Here is an 18918-nt window from a genome sequence, read left to right as displayed (position 1 = left end):
TATTTATTTATTTTTTGAGACGGAGTTTCGCTCTTGTTGCCCAGGTTGGAGGGCAGTGGCGTGATCTCGGCTCACGGCAACCTCCACCGCCCAGGTTCAAGCGATTCTCCTGCCTCACCCTCCTTAGTAGCTGGGATTACAGGCGTGTGCCACCACGCCCGGCTAATTTTGTATTTTTAGTAGAGACGGGGTTTCTCCATGTTGGTCAGGCTGGTCTTGAACTCTCCTGACCTCAGGTGATCCACCCTCCTTGGCCTCCCAAAGTGCTGGGATTACAGATGTGAGCCACTGCGCCCGGCCTTTTATTTTTTTAAATTATTATTATTTTTATTTATTTATTTATTTTTTTGAGATGAAGTCTCGCTCTGTCACCCGGCTGGAGTGCAGTGGCACGATCTCGGCTCACTGCAACCTCTGCCTCCCTGGTTTAAGCGATTCTCCTGCCTCAGCCTCCCGAGTAGCTGGGATTACAGGGGTGCACCACCATGCCTGGCTTAATTTTTGTATTTTTAGTAGAGATGGGGTTTCACCATGTTGGCCAGGCTGCTCTTGAACTCCTGACCTCAGGTGATCCACCCGCCTCGGCCTGCCAAAGTGCTGGGATTACAGGCATGAGCCACCGCACTCGGCCAGGACTCAATTTTGAAGTTCTTATGCAAGCAAAGCTGCCCATATCTAGGAGTTTATGCACACAGTACTGATTCAATACCTGCGTCTTAGTGGTCCATCAGGAATTTTTCACTCATGAAATATGACTTTAATACACGTGTTGGGACCAGAGAGAAAACCTTCCCTCTGTGCATCTTTTTTTGGAGAACACTGTCATGAACAGCCGAAAACATCAGATCAAAAGCAAGAGGGATACTGACAAAACAGGGAGTGCGGATTTCCACTGTGGGTGGGGACATTGGGAGACACGGTGACTCACTCCTCAGTAAGTGCATTCTTAGGCTCTTTACTCTGTGTGCATTTTTATTTTCTCATGGGCAACAATATAATTTCTTTCAAACATGAAGAGCCATCCAGCATGTTTCTCAAAGGCAGACTTAAATGATATGAGGGGTGTGCCTAAATATATAATTTTTAATGGTTACCATATTGGAAACATTAGCCATGATCCCATCTGATGACTAGGAACATGAGCCAGTCTGGAGTTTCTGGAGAAATCCAGCTACCGCTGCAGAGGCGGCTGTTAGCTGTTGTTACCGGCATCCTTGTTAGCGACCAGGGAGGTTTCAGTCCCGACTTGTGTCTACCAGACACCCTGACAACTGGTTAGAAAGAGAGGACTGCACCCTTTCATCCTGCGTACTTATCTGTTGTTTGTTGCTTTGACTTCTTTTTGTTCTCCGTTTTTATGTTGGCAGTATTTCTCGAGGTAGAGAACTTTCACCTTTATATTGTGCGGAGTATTTGTCCCTTCCTCGCCCCCTTAAAGAACACGTAGTACCTATGCCTTATAAGGTCTCTGTTTGATGTGAGGAATTTGGTCTTCTTGCAAGTCGGCTCTTGCAGAGGGGAGGCTTTGAGGATGTCTGGGCTGCAGCAGGCTGTCTTCGTTGCTGTGTACACAGCCCTCATGGCAGGGCATGCAAAGGTGGTTGGTTCTGACTTCAATGGCGGGACTCCATTGCCTTTATTTTTTAATTTAATTATTATTATTATTATTATTTTTGAGATGGAGTTTAGTTCTGTCACCCAGGCTGGAGTGCAGTGGTGCGATCTGGGCTCACTGCAACCCCCGCCTCCCGGATTCAAGCAATTCTCCTGCCTCAGCTTCCCGTGTAGCTGGGACTACAGGCACACACCACCATGCCCATCTAATTTTTGTGTTTTTAGTAGAGACGGGGTTTCGTCTTGTTGGCCAGGCCGGTCTCGAACTCCTGACCTCAAGTGATCCACCTGCCTGGGCCTCCCAAAGTGCTGGTATTACAGACATGAGCCACCGCACCTGGCCTCCATTGCCTTTATTTCTTTCTGCTGATAAGTTCTGATGCCAGTGATACCCAGATTGTGCCATAGGAAAGAGGGGGCTGGGCTCTTCCAGAAACCCTATCTTGCAGAAATCTCTCTTCTGTTCCTACGGACAGAGAATTGGGTATTGACCAGTGAGGACTTCTTACTGGGACTGGGCGTGGCCACTACAGGACATCTTCCAGACTAAGAGGGCCAGTTGGGGGTTACTGGACCAGGGAGGACAGTGGCGGCCACTTACTTGCCATGTGCTTTGTGTGCAGTGACTATGTAGCGACATTTGCAGCCGGACTGTGTTTCTCCTGTAGAGACACTGGCAGCCCTACAGCCCTACAGCCGTGACATTTACTCTGTACAAGGTGGCAGGAGGTGTGGGAGGGCACCGGGAACCGAAGGCCATTTTACTACCCTTCCCGCAGCGCTCCTGTTACAGTGCTTGTGGGAGTCCCAGCTGTGCCTCCAGGTACAAACGGGTTTCTTCCTGCAACCCACAACCCTGACAGGACATGCCTCCCGGGTGTGCTCCTAACCTGCCTCTTCTCTCTGCCCCTCCCTCTTTCTCCTCTCCCCTTCCCCTCTCTTTCTTCCTCTTGCCTTCCTCTTCTTTCCTCTCCCTCCCTCTGTTTCTCTCCCTTCCTTTTCCTTGTCTCCGTCTCTCCTCTCCTTTTTCCCCCTCTCCCTCTCTTTCATCCTTCTGTCTCTTCCAGAGGAGTCTGTTCAGGGATTTCTTTCTCTCTTTCTTCTTCCTGGAGGAATGTGTTTAGGGATTGGACACCTCTGACTTTGGAGGAGGGAGAAACCTCAGTGGGATGGGTTCCAGGACGACCCCACCGCATCCTTGGAACTAGGATGATCTAGACGTTGGAAAAGACACCATCCCTGGGAAACCCCAGAAAAGGCTTAATTTGTGAAAAGTAATGGAGGGAGCTGTGCCGTTGGTAGAAACTGCTTTTTTCTTCCTTAACAGTTTAAATCTGTCGTCCATTCTCCGTGAAGTGATTGGACGGGGCAAGACTCAGGTTTCCCATCTGTTCTCTGTTTGCATTTGGGCGCCATTTCAAAAACCACACGGGAAAAGTTTATAGGCAAACATTATAAAAAGTGACAGTCTGAAGTGCTGCTATCGCTGGTTTGGCAACGTAAAGTGTTACCTGAAATAGCTTACCGTTTCCAAACCCTTTTGCTGTTTCAACTGTCTCAAGACAACCCTCCCGCTGAGATGGGTGAGAAGTCCAGCTGGATGTGTGCAGTGAAGTCACATAAGTCACAGCCTTTTTTGACTTTTACAAGATTTCCCCCTCCTGGGGCTATCTTCACACACAGCGAGGATTTTTTTCTCTCTGTTTACTTATAGAGAGGTAAATTCATGCAGCTTGTGGCTAGTGGCACTCTGTGTGATGTCAAATGGTCTGCTGAGGGGCTCGGAGAGTCAGGCAGCCCCTGCCTCAGTTTCTCTCTCTCCCCAGTCAGAGGTCCTATGAGCTCCCAAGGAATAACAGGATGGTTTTCTTAGGGAAGGAAGGCCAGGTCAAGGCAGGAATTACTCACAGCTCATGTGCAGATGCCTGTTGTTATTCATACTATTTATTTATTTGTGTTTTTTTTTTGTTTGAGACAGTTTCACTCATGTCGCCCAGGCTGGAGTGCAATGGCATGGTCTCGGCTCACTGCAACCTCCACCTTCTGGGTTAAACGATTCTCCTCTGCCTCAGCCTCCCAAATAGCTGGGATTACAGGCACATGCCACCACGCCCAGCTAATTTTTTATATTTAATAGAGATGGGTTTCACCATGTTGGTGAGGCTGGTCTCGAACTTCTGATCTCAGGTGATCCACTCGCTTTGGTCTCCCAAAGTGCTGAAATTACAGGCATGAGCCACTGTGCCTGGGCTACTTATTTATTTTTGGAGACAGGTTCTCGTCTCGCTGTGTCACCCAGGCAGGAATGCAGTGGCGCGATCATAGCTCAGTGCAGCCTCTGGGGCTCAAGCGATCTTCCTACCTCAGCCCCCTGTGTAGCTGGGACTACAGGTGTTTATCATCATTCCCGGCTTTTTTTTTTTTTTTTTTTCATTTTTTGTGGAGAGAGGATCTTACTATGTTCCCTAGGCTGGTCTTGAACTCCTGACCTCAAGTGATTCTCCCACCTCGACCTCCCAAAGTGCTGGGATTGTAGGCATGACCTGCTGTGCCTGGCCCATTTATTTTTTGATTAGCTGTACAAGTACCTGTCTCTCTCATTTTTAAAGTATCAAAACAGTCAATTTTTTTTTTTATTTTTTTTTTGAGATGGAGTTTTGCTCTTGTTGCCCCGGCTGGAGTGCAATGGCGTGAGCTCAGCTCACCACAACCTCCAGCTTCTGGGTTCAAGCGATTCTCCTGCCTCAGCCTCCCGAGTAGCTGGGACTATAGGCATGCGCCACCATGCCCAGCTAATTTTGCATTCTCAGTAGAGACGGGGTTTCTCCATGTTGGCCAGGCTGGTCTCGAACTCCTGACCTCAGGTGATCCGCCCGCTTCGGCCTCCCAAAGTGCTGGGATTACAAGCACGAGCCACCGCGCCCGGCCAGTCGTTTTTGTTTGTTTGTTTGTTTGTTTGTTTGTTTTTAAAGAAGCTGCTTGTGGCCAGGTGCGGTGGCTACCACCTGTAATCCTAGCACTTTGGGAGGCGGAGGCAGGTGGATTGCCTGAGCTGAGGAGTTTGAGACTGGGCTGGGCAACGTGGTAAAACCCTGTCTCTACTAAAATACAACAACAACAACAAAATTCCCAGGCGTGATGGCATGCACCTGTAATCCCATTACTCCAGAGGCTGAGGCAGGAGAATCACTTGAACCCAGGAGGTGGAGCTTGCAGTGAGCCGAGATCGCACCACTGCACTCCAGCCTGGGAGAGAGCGAGACTCCGTCTCAAAAAAAAAAAAAAAAAAAAAAAAGGCCAGGCACGGTGGCTCACGCCTGTAATCCCAGCACTTTGGGAGGCTGAGGTGGGCGTATCACGAGGTGAGGAGATCAAGATCATCCTGGCCAACATGGTGAAACCCACCCCGTCTCTACTAAAAAAAATACCAAAAATTAGCCAGGTGTGGTGGCAGGCTCCTGTAGTCCCAGCTACTCAGGAGGCTGAGGCAGGTGAATAGCGTGAACCCGGGAGGTGGAGCTTGCAGTGAGCCAAGATCGCGCCACTGCACTCCAGCCTGGGCGACAAAGCCAGACTCCGTCTCAAAAAAAAAAAGAAAAAAAAGGCTGCTTGCTAACACGCTGCTGGTACTTCCCAAGTATTTGAAACTTCTGGGAGAAAATTCACGTGGATGCAACTGAGCTTTATGCAGCAGGGCTGCAGTAGTGTGGCCACGGCAGTAGAAACGAGTGTTGAGCTGTGTCCCAGGAAGGAGACTTGGTGCCTTGTTTGTTTACCAGTTTTAGGAAACAGTGACAAAGATTGGCCAATACTACTGTGAAGCTTGCTTGCTTCTTTTCGACTTTTAATTCATATTGTGAAAAATACATGGAAACATATTCTCTGTCTGTGGAAGCCTCTGAAAGAGCATTTGTGCATAGCAAGGCGGCTTCTGGAACCTTCTCCCCATTGCGTTTTGGCAGGAGATGAGGGAGATGTTGGGCTGTGCACCCCTGGTGGATTCGCACAGGAAAGGTGAAAAGTATGCCACAGCAATGGGAAAAAGTAAATCCAGGAAGTGCTCACATGACTATAAAAGGAGTTATGTACATTTCCTGGGGAATTCTTTGCTCTTTCACAGAGCAGGCTGTGCAGCCTGGTGGAGTCAGGGAGAGGTTGTCCATCCATGGGGGGTGACCAGAGTTAGGGAGGCCCCTTTGCACATGCAGGCACAGGGGATTCTCTGATTGTCCTGGCTCCGCGCAGCCTGGGGCCAGGTCAGTACAACTGTGGGGATGAACATGGAGGGCTCAGGGAGTGCATGTTTGCAGGGAGTGGGCAGCGGGTCAGGTCACCTGCAGCATTCAAACCCAGAAGAGAAGCTAAGCCCTGTGGACGGCAAATGGACCCAAGGACACGGGCAGGGACAGAGCTGCTTCCACTGAGCCAGCTGTTAGGTGCTTGTGTTCTTGGCCCCCTGGCCGGGGTTGTCTTTGATATGTGTCGTGTGTGCTGGGCCCTGCAGGCTGGGCTTGGGGGGCCACTGGGTGGCCTGGGAGGCTACCAGTGTGGCATTTGGCCCCTCCCCAGCGTATGGCCCCACCCCATCCCTGCCTCTCTTCTTACTTACATCCTCCTCTTTTTATTCTCCCCAACCTCTTTCTCTCTTGTGTGTTTATTCATGCATTCTCCCTAACATGTGCTTGCAGAGTCTTCTGGGATACCCAGGGGTATTACTGGCATGTTTACTAAAGGCACCGCTGATCCCCAAAATGGGCCCTTTGTGAAATGACCACTGAAGGGGTGGAGGGAGGAGTCCTTGCTTTCTCAGTTTACCAAGACAGCAGTTACTGGTTTGAGACTTTGAAGACAGGATGGCTTGATTTTTATGGATAAACATCATTATCTCATTGGTGTATTTTAGGGGGTGATATTTTACTATCCTTGAAGCTTGGATATCTAGATGACAGTTTTGATCTGGTTTTACTGGGATCAAAAGCAGTTTTAGTACGTCAAGTCATCTTAACTGTCCATTGAGATGGGACTCCTGTAAAATCACTTTGTATCTGGAGATAGCAATCCAAGTGTTCTGGCTGGGCGCAGTGGCTCACGCCTATAATCCCAGCACTTTGGGAGGCCGAGGCGGGCAGATCACGAGGTCAGGAGTTCAAGACCAGCATGGCCAATATGGTAAACGCTGTCTCTCATAAAAATACAAAAAAGTTAGCTGGGTGTGGTGGTGCACGCCTGTAATCCCAACTACTTGGGAGGCTGAGGCAGGAGAATCACTTGAACCTGGGAGGCGGAGGTTGCGGTGAGCCGAGATCGTGCCACTGGATTCCAGCCTGGGTGACAGAGCAAGACTCTGTCTCAAAAAAAAAAAAAAGAAAAGAAAAGAAAAGAAAAGAAAAAGAAACCCAGATGTTCTGTGATTATCCTCTGAAAATCGTGGTGCTTAAAAAATCACGGCAAGCATCTTCCGCCTTGAAGAGTAACAGTAATAGTGACAGTCATTAGCCCGACATGTTGTAGTTGATGATCAGGTTCATCTTCGTTGGCTCATTGGAATCTTACCAATAATAAACCAGTATTTGGGTACTCTTACCCTGCAACAGATGGGGAACACCAGGCCAAAAGGTTAAGCAGGAATGGAGAGGCGTGGGAACTCAGGGCTTCATCCTCTTCTCGTCCAGGGCAGCACCCTTCACCAGGCATCTCCCATGTCCAGCTCCAAATAAGACACAGGTCCTCGCTGTCCCCTGTACTTCCTTCTAGAACAGCACGTGGTAGTCCAGCAGCTCAGATACCCCCAGTTTCAGCAAGATTTTGGGGTTTACTGATTTTAGGTGAAGGAAAGGATTCTCAATGAAAACACTTTCATTTAAAAACAGGAAATCATACATCATAACTCCTCCTTTGCCGGGAGAGAGATTTTTTTCTGCATCACAATTGCAAATGCCTTGCTTATCTTTTTTTTTTCTTTTTTTCCCCCTAATGGAGTCTTAGAGCATTCCTCTGCGTGACATAGGGACATGGTTGCACCTTATCTGAGGGTCAGGATGGAGCAGATTGGTGTGTGGGTCCCAGGTGCCTTCCCTGTGAGGGAGGGAAGCTTTGCTGCTTCTGCTCAGCGGCTGCCCTGGTGATCAATTCTGGCTAAGAGGAAAGTACATTCCATAACATTTCTGGTGACTTGCTGATCATGTGATGTTGTCATAATAGACATTGATCATTTTATGACCCAGACTGATCCAATGTAAATTCATTCTAACATGGTGGGTGCTGTTTCAGCAATGAGTTGTTGGAGACCTGGGACTCAAAGGACATCTGGTCCTTGCCTTAGCCAGCTGTCAAAGGGGTTGGACCAATAGCGTTTGGGGCCCCTTCAGCTCTCATGTTGAGTGAATCTGTGACTCTAGGATGTTGGGAGTGGGAGATGGGCCAAGATTTGGGACCAGACTGAATCCCTGCCGTCTTCTCCTCCTTCTCATATTTCTCTTCCTTTCTTTTTTCTGTTTGGTCTCCATAGTTTAAAGTATTTCTATTAGTCACTCAATTCAGCCGCATTTTGACTTAACCAGCCTTGAGAGACCTGCTCTAAGAGCCTTCAAACTAAGTTCCCAACATCTTTTAAACTTCGCTTTGTCCTTCACTTCTCAGCTCAAATGCCTGTTCTTTGGAGAAGTCTCTCTGATTGTCTTATACAACAGGGATTGAAACACTTTTTGCAAAGGCAAGACTGCAAATATTGTAGGGCTTGCAGGCCACAGGGTTTCTGTTGCAATGACTGAACTCTGCCCTTGTAACACACAAAAGCAGCGCCAGACAATAAGGAATGGGCATGGCCGTGTTCTAATAAAGCTTTGTTTACAAAAACAAGCTGCGGCTGGCTTGGCCCGCGGGCCATCATCCGCCACCTCCTGCCAAGGGACCAGCCCTCCTCTGCCACTGCTGTGTGTGCCCGTACCTTGCCATGTCCTTCTTCCTAATGCTTAAGCAAGAACACTGTATTTTTTGTAGATTTTGTATCTATCGTCTGTCACCCCCACCATAATGGACGCTCCACAAGTGCAGGGTCTTTATCTTGTCTCCTCTTGCTGCGGAGCTTCCAGAATAGGCTTGTTGTATAGTAGACATGCAGTAAATAATTACTGAGTGAGAAAACAAATGTTAGAAACATAACCTGCCCGTCAGCTGGGCTTTCCTTGCTTTGGGGTGCATTTGTCCATGTTACATTTAGCTTCTATTTTCCTCCTTTTGTTGTGATTCTCTCTTTGTGTTCACGTGCTAGTTGGCATCTGGGGCTTGGCATGCATGCCTTTGGTGATGCCCCCTTGAGAAGCCCCGGGCCTCCTGTGTGGCTGTTGATGGTGGTGGTGAGGGGGATTTCTTGTCCCCAATGCATGTGGCCCTTGCTCCTTTCACAGTGGGACTGAAACACAGATTGACTTGATTTCAGTCTCCTGTGGGAGATTTGTTCTTCTGAGGGGTGTCTAGGCAAAACAGTTGCCTTTGATCCTGCCCTGATTTGGTGCTGTCTCAGTGCTGGGAAGCTTTGCATTTTCTAGGCCTGGAACTCTGGGTCCCATTCACACTTCTCACTGGAGGGATGAAAGCCTCCTTCTTGGGCCCTCGTGGCCATCCCAGCTGGCCGCTCCAGCTGTTGTTATTAATAAATGCCAGTGGTGTCCTCTCAACTCCAGTGGAGAGGTTGTGTGGGTTGGATCCTTGTGGGTCCAATCCCGTGCTGCATATCTGGGAACTGTGACCTTGTTTGACATGGCCATGTGTCTGCCAAGCAGGATGGGGTCGGTGGCGGGAAGCACAGAGAACCATGAGACCCACGCCTTTTCTCTAGGGTCTTGGTGTCTCCGTGGGGAGATGGGATGCATTCATGAGAATATGGTGCATCCCATGAGCTGGCAAAGTGGGCAGGTGTATGGTGGAGGGGGAGGGAGCCAGTGCTCTTCCGCCCAGGGGGACTGATGCAAGGTGACTCCCATCACGGAGGACCCTGCTTGATTTGGGTCTTGGAGGGTGGATGACAGGGAAGAGAGGGAGGAAGGACTGTCCCTACAGAAGAAGCCTGGGACATGTGTGGTGGGTGTTGGTGAGCAGGGTGGGACTCAGCTTTGTCGTGTGGAGTCGGGGGCACACAGCACCCAGCGGCTTCATTTCAGGACCCCTGTAAGTGCAACGGAGACTGCCTTGCAGCTGTCTGGGCATTTTGCTCTTTTTGTTTTTGGTGTTAAGGCCTCTAGGCTTTTATCATTTTGGGAAAACAGCAGGTCTCAGCTCACCCAGCACAGAATTAGGTCTCTAAACCGGCAAAGTACTGATCTGAACATGAGAGCTCATGAAAACTCTGGATGGCAAAAAATCTTGTAGAGGGATCCCTTAGTTTTCCTTGAGTTTGAGACATTTCATTTTAAGAAGCTTGGCCTTGGGGCAACAGACCAAGTCTAGCACAAATAATAAAGAGTGTATGTGTGTGTGGCGCACAGTCACGTTTCACGTACAAATGTGTAAAACTCGGCATTCTTACAAATAAAACATACCACAATAACAGATTTTTGCAGGTATTACAGTGCAAGCACGCTTTGGCAATCAATTTAAACATTTTCTTGTGGAATATTCTTCCATGCTATGGTTTGGTTTGTTTCTAAAGCCCCATAGGATGTGGAAACTAAGTCAGGACAGATTTTCTGGGGGTATCCTCTGGTTGCTCTTCCAGATACTTCCTGACTTCCTGGGGCTTGGGGAGAGGTGGATGCCTGCTGGGGCCATTTGCAGAGCAAGAACAGCTTCTCCTGGGAATAAGCAGGCCTCCACTGACCTTTGTTGGACGTTCTCTCCTCTCCCTCCTTCCCATCTGTCTCCGTCTTCTCTCTCCCACCTTTCTGCAGAGCCACCAACCAAATACCAAATCTCTCAACCAGAAGTGTACGTGGCTGCGCCAGGGGAGTCGCTAGAGGTGCGCTGCCTGTTGAAAGATGCCGCCGTGATCAGTTGGACTAAGGATGGGGTGCACTTGGGGCCCAACAATAGGACAGTGCTTATTGGGGAGTACTTGCAGATAAAGGGCGCCACGCCTAGAGACTCCGGCCTCTATGCTTGTACTGCCAGTAGGACTGTAGACAGTGAAACTTGGTACTTCATGGTGAATGTCACAGGTGAGTTGGCCCGCCAGCACTATGCTCTCTCTTCTCTGTAGCCATTACATTTTTTTGGCCAAGTGAAAAGGTAGTGAGATCTCTAATTGTAATTGGATGCCAGGCATACAGCTTCATAGTTTTTGAAATTCTTCTTTGGGACCTGGTGCACCAGAAAGGCCGATCATTAAGAATGATAGAATTCTTGTGCACAAAGTAACATTTTTCTTAAGATAGTACGCTTTTATTTAAGTAAATACATGCTTTTTTTTTTTTTTTTTTGTACCACTGACATCTCTGGCATTTAGAATATAGGGTTGAAATTTGGATACTCAAGATTTCTGATTCATTTATTAGAGTTTGAGTTTCTCTCCATGATTTCCTTCTATGCAGTGAGCGGGACAGAACAGGCCCCCTTTGTGGCCGAGTTTAAAGTTCTGCTTTCAGAATGTTAGTTGACGATGAGAAGGGCCACACAGGGACTGAGTTTTGTTAGGGATCAATTTCTTTCTTCAAGGAGACCCCGCATACTGAAAGGTTAATGTTGGAAAAAGAGTCTTTGGGTGCTACACAATTGGTAAATTTGTCAGGGGCTTGAATACTGTTTGAAGCTTGAAATCCAGTTCTCATATATCCAATTTTATAGCCTGTTTAAATAGCGTGAAAGCAGAAAACATTGAGAATCATAACATAGACCAACTGTCATCATGGAGGGAAAATTTAAGCCATTAAAACTATCTTAACTGAAAACAATCCCAGGCTCTTTGCGAGGGTTCCTGGGTTGTTGACTTTGCTATGGAGAAGGTCTCAGTTGTAGATAATTGCAACCTTTTTGCTTTGCAAAAAACACATCCATGGAATATGTTCTTTTGCATACAGATGCCATCTCATCCGGAGATGATGAGGATGACACCGATGGTGCGGAAGATTTTGTCAGTGAGAACAGTAACAACAAGAGTAAGTAACTGCCCGGCTCCGATGGTCCCCGAGAGAGGAGCATGGAGGGAAGTTCTGCCTGTCACCTGTCTTCTTGTCGACTCTTCTGCGCCATGCTGTGTCCCGCGGCCCTTGCCTTTCCCCGCTGTGTCTACTTTCCTGACTTTCAAACCTGAGAATAAACCAGTGTTGCTGCACAGCCTTCTCTATCGTTTGTCCTTTCTTCTCGTGTCACTGGTCATTCGTTTTTCAAAGCAGTTACTACTTTTCTTTCCTTGATTTTCCCTTTTCCCTTTGACTTCTCCCTATTCAGAGACATAAGAATAGTAGAACCATGTAACATCTTGGTTTTCCTTGTAATCAGTGATTGTGCTTGGTTTAATCCAGTGGTGTGTGACTGGGGCAATTGCCTATTCTTGCTCTCCCGGCACATTGGGCAATATTTGGTTGTCACAACAGAGGGAGGGGGTGCTGGTGGCCTTTAGCTGGGGAGGGGCCAGGGATGCAGAGCACAGCCCCATAACAAAGAATTATCTGGTCCAAGATGTCAATCATCCCTAGGGTGAGAAACCCGGCCTCCTACAACACACACCTCATGCTGAGTGAAAATGAAGGACGTGTGCCTTACTTTGTAGACCACGATTGAAAAGGGAGCCAAGGGTGGCTTGCTTAATGAGGGCCATGAACACTGAGCGCTAACATGGGAGAGGCCATTTACTTGCGAGGAAGAACATGGCGTAGCCTCTTGGAGCTGGGCAACCTGGGTTTGAATCTTGCTCCACAACTTCTGAGTTGCTCATTTCACTTCTGTGCCTTAGTTTCTTTATAAAATGGGAGTAATAATAATAATACTATTTTCTGGGGTTGTTATGAGGATTACATGAGTTCCTAGTTGTATAGTGCTCAGAAGAGTGGTTGCTTGCAAATGTTTATTCAATACACAAAATACAATATAGCATTACTTGCATTTTCCAATGACTTGGCTAGAATGTTCCTAAAGTGTTTGTACATAGGGTATTGGGATTCTCTGCTTACATGGTATATTCTACATTTTTCTTAAAAGGATTTTAGTCAATTTGGTACATTTAAACAAGGCCTAAGTAATATACCACACCCGGCTAATTTATGTATATATATATATTTTTTCCCGAGATGCAGTCTTGTTCTGTCACCCAGGCTGGAGTGCAGTGGCGCCATCTTGGCTCACTGCAACCTGCACCTCCCAGGTTCAAGCAATTCTCCTGCCTCAGCCTCCCGAGTAACTAGGACTACAGGGGCCTGCCACTACACCTGGCTAATTTTTGTATTTTTAGTAGAGATGGGGTTTCACCATGTTGGCTAGGCTGGTCTCGAACTCTTGACCTTGTGATTCACCTGCCTCGGCCTCCCAAAGTGCTGAGACTACAGGCGTCAGCCACCGTGCCCAGCCTAATTTATGTATTTTTAGTAGAGACAGGGTTTTACCATGTTGGCCAGGCTGGTCTTGAACTCCTGACCTCAAGTGATCCACCCGCCTCAGCCTCCTGAAGTGCTGGGATTACAGGTGTGAGCCACTGCGCCTGGCAATACTTTATTTTTTCGAGCAGTTTCAGGTCCACAGCAAAATAAAGAGGAAGGAACAAAGATTTCCCATATAATCTTCCCCAACACATGCATAGCCTGTCCTGTTATCAACATCCCCACCAGAATGGTACATCTGTTCCAGTTGATGAACCTGCACTGCCATCATTATCACCCAAAGTGTGTGGTTGACTTTAGGGTATGTAATCATACAGTGTGTAGCCTTTACAGATTGGCTTCTTTGACTTAGTAAGATGCATGTAAGTTTCTCTCATGTCTTTTCATGGCTTGATGGGTCATTTGTTTGTAGCACTGAGTATTCCATTGTTTGTATGTATCAAAGTTTATTTACCCGTTTACCTACTAAAAGATATCTCGGCTGGGCACCGTTGCTCACGCCTGTAATCCTAGCACTTTGTGAGGCCGAGGCGGGTGGATCACTTGGGAACAAAAGTTCGAGACCAGCTTGGCCAACATGGCAAAATCCCTGTCTCTGCTAAAAATACATAGGTTAGCCAAGTGTAGTGGTGCATGCCTGTAATCCCAGCTACTCGGGAGGCTGAGGCATGAGAATCACTTGAACCCAGGATGCGGAGGTTGCAGTGAGTCGAGATCACACCACTGCACTCCCTCCTGCCTGGGTGACAGAGTGAGACTCCATCTCAAAAAAAAAAAAAACAAACTCTGTTGCTTCCAAGTTTTGACAGTTGCAAATAAAGCTGCTACAGACATCTTTGTGCGGGTTTTTGTGGGGACATAGTTTTCAATTACTTTGGGTAAATGTTAAGGAGTGTGATTGCTGGATTATGTGAGAAGAGTATGTTTAGATTTGTAGGAAACCACCTAGCTGCCTTGCAAAGTGGCTGCACCATTTTGTATTCCCACCAGCAATGAATGAGAGTTCCTGTTGCTCCACATCATTCGATGTGCTTGGTGTTCTGGATTTTGGCCATTCTGATAGGTGTGTAATGGTATTTTGTTGTTTTAATTTAAATTTCTCTGATGACAGATGATGTGAAGCATCTTTTCATATGATTAATTGCCATCCATGTATCTTCTTTGGTGAGATGTCTGTTAAGGCCGTTGGCCCATTTTTTAATTAGGTTGTTTGTTTTCTTACTGTCGAGTTATAAGAGTTCTTTGTATATTTTGGATAACAGTCCTTTATTACATCTCTTTTGCAAATAGTTTCTCCCCTCACCTGTGGCTTGCCTTTTCATTCTCTTGACAGTGTCTCTTGCAGAGCAGAAATTTTTAAGTTTCATGTAGTCTGGTTTTTCTTTTATGGATGGTGCCTTTGGTGTTATACCTAAAATGTCATCACCCAACCCAAGGTCATCTAGATTTTCTCCTATGTTACCTCCTAGGAGTATTATTGTTTTGTATTTTGTATTTATGTGTGTAATCTATTTTAAGTTAATTTTTGTAAAGGATGTAAGGTGTGTGTGTGGATTCACTTTTTAGCCTGTGGATGTCCAGTGGTTCTGGGACTATTTGTTGAAAAGACTGTCCTTTAGGTTTTTTTTTTTTTTTTTTTGAGATGGGAGTTTCGCTCTTGTTGCCCAGGCTGGAGCGCAATGGTGCGATCTCAGCTCACCGCAGCCCCTGCCTCCCGGGTTCAAGCAATTCTCCTGCCTCAGCCTCCTGAGTAGCTGGGATTACAGGTACATGCTACCACACCCCGCTAATTTTGTATTTTTAGTAGAGACGGGGTTTCTCCATGTTGGTCAGGCTGGTCTGGAACTCCCGACCTCAGGTGATCTGCCTGCCTCGGCCTCCCAAAGTGCTGGGATTACAGGTGTGAGCCACTGCGCCCGGCCTGTCTTCTTAAAGGAAAAAGATAAAATAGATATTGGTAGGTGCCTCGGATAAATGAGTTACTTAAGTGAAGACTTAGATTTGTCCCTGAGTCTCCTAGCAGCTGGGGCAAAAGAGAAATATTTTGGTTGGTGCAGTTTTTACTTTTTGTCAAGAGGAAGCTTAGGGCAGTGGTTCTCAAAGTAAAGTTCCTGGACCAGCAGCATCAGCATCACCTGAGAACTCCCTCGAAATGCAGATTCTCAGGTTCCTCCTCAGACCCACTGCCTCAGAAACTCTGGGGCTGATTCTGATTCACACTGAAATGCGAGAACCACTGGCTTAGAATTTGCACGTGGAGGTCTGCCCTGAATGGGAGCTTACTGTTAGTGGTCTTGTTCGTAAAACAGTGGATAATAAGGTGAGTGGAAGTATCTTCTGTGATTTGTACCAGCCTTCTAAAGAGGTTATCATTATTGTTATTTAATAAAAAGCACTGATAAGTGGAGCATGTCACTCGCCTCTTTTTTTTTTTTTTTTTTTTTTTTTTGGGGACGGAGTCTTGCTCTGTTGCCCAGGCTGGAGTGCAGTGGTGCTATCTCGGCTCACTGCAAGCTCCGCCTCCCGGGTTCACGCCATTCTCCTGCCTCAGCCTCCCGAGTAGCTGGGACTACAGGTGCCCACCACCACACCCGGCTAATTTTTTGTATTTTTTAGTAGAGATGGGGTTCCACCATGTTAGCCAGAATGGTCTCGATCTCCTGACCTCGTGATCTGCTCGCCTCGGCCTCCCAAAGTGCTGGGATTACAGGCGTGAGCCACGGCACCTGGCCCACTCACTTCTTTTGGCCAGTGGCTCTGGCATGAAGCTGGAGGCAAAGATGCTGAGGGCCTGCACTAGACAGGCTCTGTGCTGGCTGCTGGTTCCGTCCATGCCACCAATAACCCGATCAGGTGGAGAGAGTATTTATTCTTGCTTTATTGAATGGAAAATTGTGGCTTAGCAAGCAAAAGAAGGGCTGCGTTTCAGTTGTAGGCCTGTTGCCTGAGAGCATCCTAGGGTCACGATGGGGGTGGAGTGAGAATGCTTGTACAGGTGTTTACAGCTCTCCAGTTTTACTGTATGTGGGTGCCCTCGCTATGGATTGAGACATCAGATTCTGTCAGCTTGGTTTTTGGATGCCTGGGGAACTGCGTTGTCCTGGTTGTCGGCTACCTGCCTAATAGCAGGTTACCGTGAAACCATGTGAAGCAATAGAATGCAACAGCAAGGTATGGATTACATGACAGGCAGGCTGAGTGGTTCAGAAGGATTATATGCTGTGGACCTTATGCTTTGCATTGTGAACAGTGTTCCTAACTGCCCAGCGCCCATGCAGAAGGGCCAGGGGGTAGAGCACCCATGTGATGAATGCCAACCAACAGTGTACTTGCCATGCCTTCACCTTGCAAGCAGGGTTCTTTTGTAATTAGCTCTCGAATGACAGCAACTCTGCCCCTGAAATGGGTGCTCTGCAGTGATTAAGGGCTAGTGTTAGCTGTACCAGGGAGATACTGCTGTGAGGAGGTGCCTCTGTTTGGTGTCTGTGAAACATTAGATGCTATTTAAAGTGATAGCGGTTCTTAGCTGGCTACTTGGCCTCTGCCATCTGTTAGTGTGATTAGGCTGGTCTGATTCACAGGTGCAGCCTGGGGCGGCTGAGATTAAGCAGCTGTGGTCTGTGTGGACAGAGGAATGCCACGGCCGGGGTAATTGGCAAGGCAGGAAAGGGGACGTTGCCATTAAAACAATTTTTTGCCACCTCAAGTGTCAAATGCCTGACCCGATTAATAGGGAAAATTGCAGAAGCACCAAATTCTTTGTATTTTCAGCCACCTGGAAAACACTCATGTGTCCAGATTGATTTCTTTGGTGCCTTCTGATTGTCTGAAAATGCCACTGGGGTGTGTTTGTATGTTCTTCTTTAGGAACTTTGACAAATGATGCTCCAGTGACCCTGTGTTGATGGTGACGTTTTTGGGCTTTTTTGAGTTTTTTTTTTTTTTTTTTTTTTCTCCTTTTGGATTGAGACATTGAAAATTTAGTTCTGTATCTTCCAGTTGGAAAAATATATTGCAGGTTATTCCCTCTGCTGATTTGCTAGATTATTGATCTAATTTTGTTGGTTAACATAAGAAGGCAAGCTCAGCTGCCTGCTAGAGTGTTTTTTAGATTCTGTACAGAGTACGAAAAGCTTGGGTGCCAAATACAATGGCAAAAATAACAATGAAGAATTAAAGATCGGGCGCGGTGGCTCATGGATGTAATCCCAGTACTTTGGGAGGCCGAGGCAGGCGGATCACAAGGTCAGGAGTTCGAGACCAGCCTGGCCAATATGGTGAAACTCCATCTCTACTAAAATATAAAAATTAGCCGGGCTTGGTGGCGGGCGCCTGAGGCTGAGGCAGGAGAATCACTTGAACCCGGGAAGTGGAGGTTGCAGTGAGCCGAAATTGTGCCACTGCACCCCAGCCTGGGCGACAGAGTGAGACTCCGTCTCAAAAAAAAAAAAAAACAAAAAACTGTATCTATTAACATCATGTTGTACATGCATTGAAAAACCCAGCCATGGGCTGATTTGATTGATCTTTTTAAGTTGGTTTCTTCATCACAGATGTGCAGGGCATTCTCTGGTCATATTTTAGCAGCTGACTAGCTGATGACCTCACATGGTACCAGCACTAGATGTTTCCAAGTGGAACAGTCCTGTGATGTCATTACAAGCCTGGTTGCCAGGAAATAATGCTGTTACATATGCCCCTCGGTGCAACACATTTTCTCCAGAAAGAAAGTTGCAGTTTCATATGCTAATTTTTGAAATGCATCCAGGTTGAGGGTTTTGAAGGGTTGAGAATTTATCCTTTCGCATAGAAAAGTATAAGTTAACTAGTTCTTGCCTTCCCTAGGTACTAGGTATGTTAATGGGTTATCTGGCAGCAACTAGGTAGATGCATATACCCATTTGTTCGAGGGATTTTTATTGTTTCCAGCTTGTTTCGGTGATTAATGTTTCTGAAGAGCTTGAGACTTAGTTTTTGAGAAGATCATGATGGACGAAAAGTTCAGGTCCATTGCTTAACTCGAGGGAAGTGATGGAGAGACAGTTGCATCAAGACTCTTGCTGCTAAAGTGGTTCTTTCTCTCGAGTGATGAGAGAAAAAGTAATTTTCTATTTTGGTTTCATTCCTGTTGAGACCTGCAGATGCCCACACTCCATGTCAGGGAGAAAGGCTATTTTTTTTGGAAGTACCTAGGGAAAATGAAGGTAGTTAGCCTGAGATTCCAAACTCATTTCATTGATTAACCTGCCGATAACAGTTCAAAGTCACCTTTGTTCTAATTGGGATTTTTACTTGGTAGAGATCCTAAGTTGGTAACAGCAGGCTTCTTAGTTGTGTTGAAGTTTCTAGGAATTGAAAAGAACAATATCAGTAATAAAAACAACAAAAAACCCACACAGGCTTTGCAAATTTTTAGAAATTCCCTTTGTAATGAAAACATCATCAATAAGTTGGTTTGGGCCAGCATAGCAGCTCGCACCTGTAATTCCAGCTAGTTGGGAGGCCGAAGCAGGAGGATCGTGTATACCCAGGAGTTTGAGACTAGCCTCGGGAGCATAGCAAGACCGCATCTCTACAAAAAATAAAAGATTAGCCAGGTGTGGTAGCTCATGCCTGCAGTCCCAGTTACTTGGGAGGCTCAGGTGGGAGGATCACCTGAGCCCAGGAGGTCAAGGCTGCAGTGAGCTGTGGTTGTACCACTGCAGTGCAGCCTGGGCAACGGAGCAAGACCCTGTCTCTTAAAAAGAAGAAAAAGCTGCTTTTGGTATTTTATCACAAA

General features: G+C 46.9%; 1 protein-coding gene across 22 annotated transcripts in view; it reads left to right on the top strand.

Moving 5' to 3' along the window:
• FGFR2 (fibroblast growth factor receptor 2) overlaps nt 1–18918 on the top strand; it is a 120129-nt gene that overhangs the window by 22255 nt on the left and 78956 nt on the right. For 10 of the 22 annotated variants that reach the window (NM_001144914.1, XM_017015921.3, XM_017015920.3 and 7 more), the window contains 2 exons: nt 10500–10766; nt 11625–11702. The exons of 6 other annotated variants lie outside the window; for them this stretch is intronic. In NM_001144914.1, coding sequence (NP_001138386.1) covers nt 10500–10766; nt 11625–11702 — 345 coding nt within the window. The remainder of the gene's footprint in view (nt 1–10499; nt 10767–11624; nt 11703–18918) is intronic. 6 more of the 22 variants (XM_024447890.2, NM_001441089.1, NM_023029.3 and 3 more) reach the window with 1 other exon arrangement.

This window comes from Homo sapiens, chromosome 10 (genome assembly GCF_000001405.40).
Source record: "Homo sapiens chromosome 10, GRCh38.p14 Primary Assembly".
NCBI lineage: Eukaryota > Metazoa > Chordata > Mammalia > Primates > Hominidae > Homo > Homo sapiens.
The sequence above is the reverse complement of the archived record's forward strand: the minus strand, read 5'-3'. Positions and strand labels throughout refer to the sequence as shown.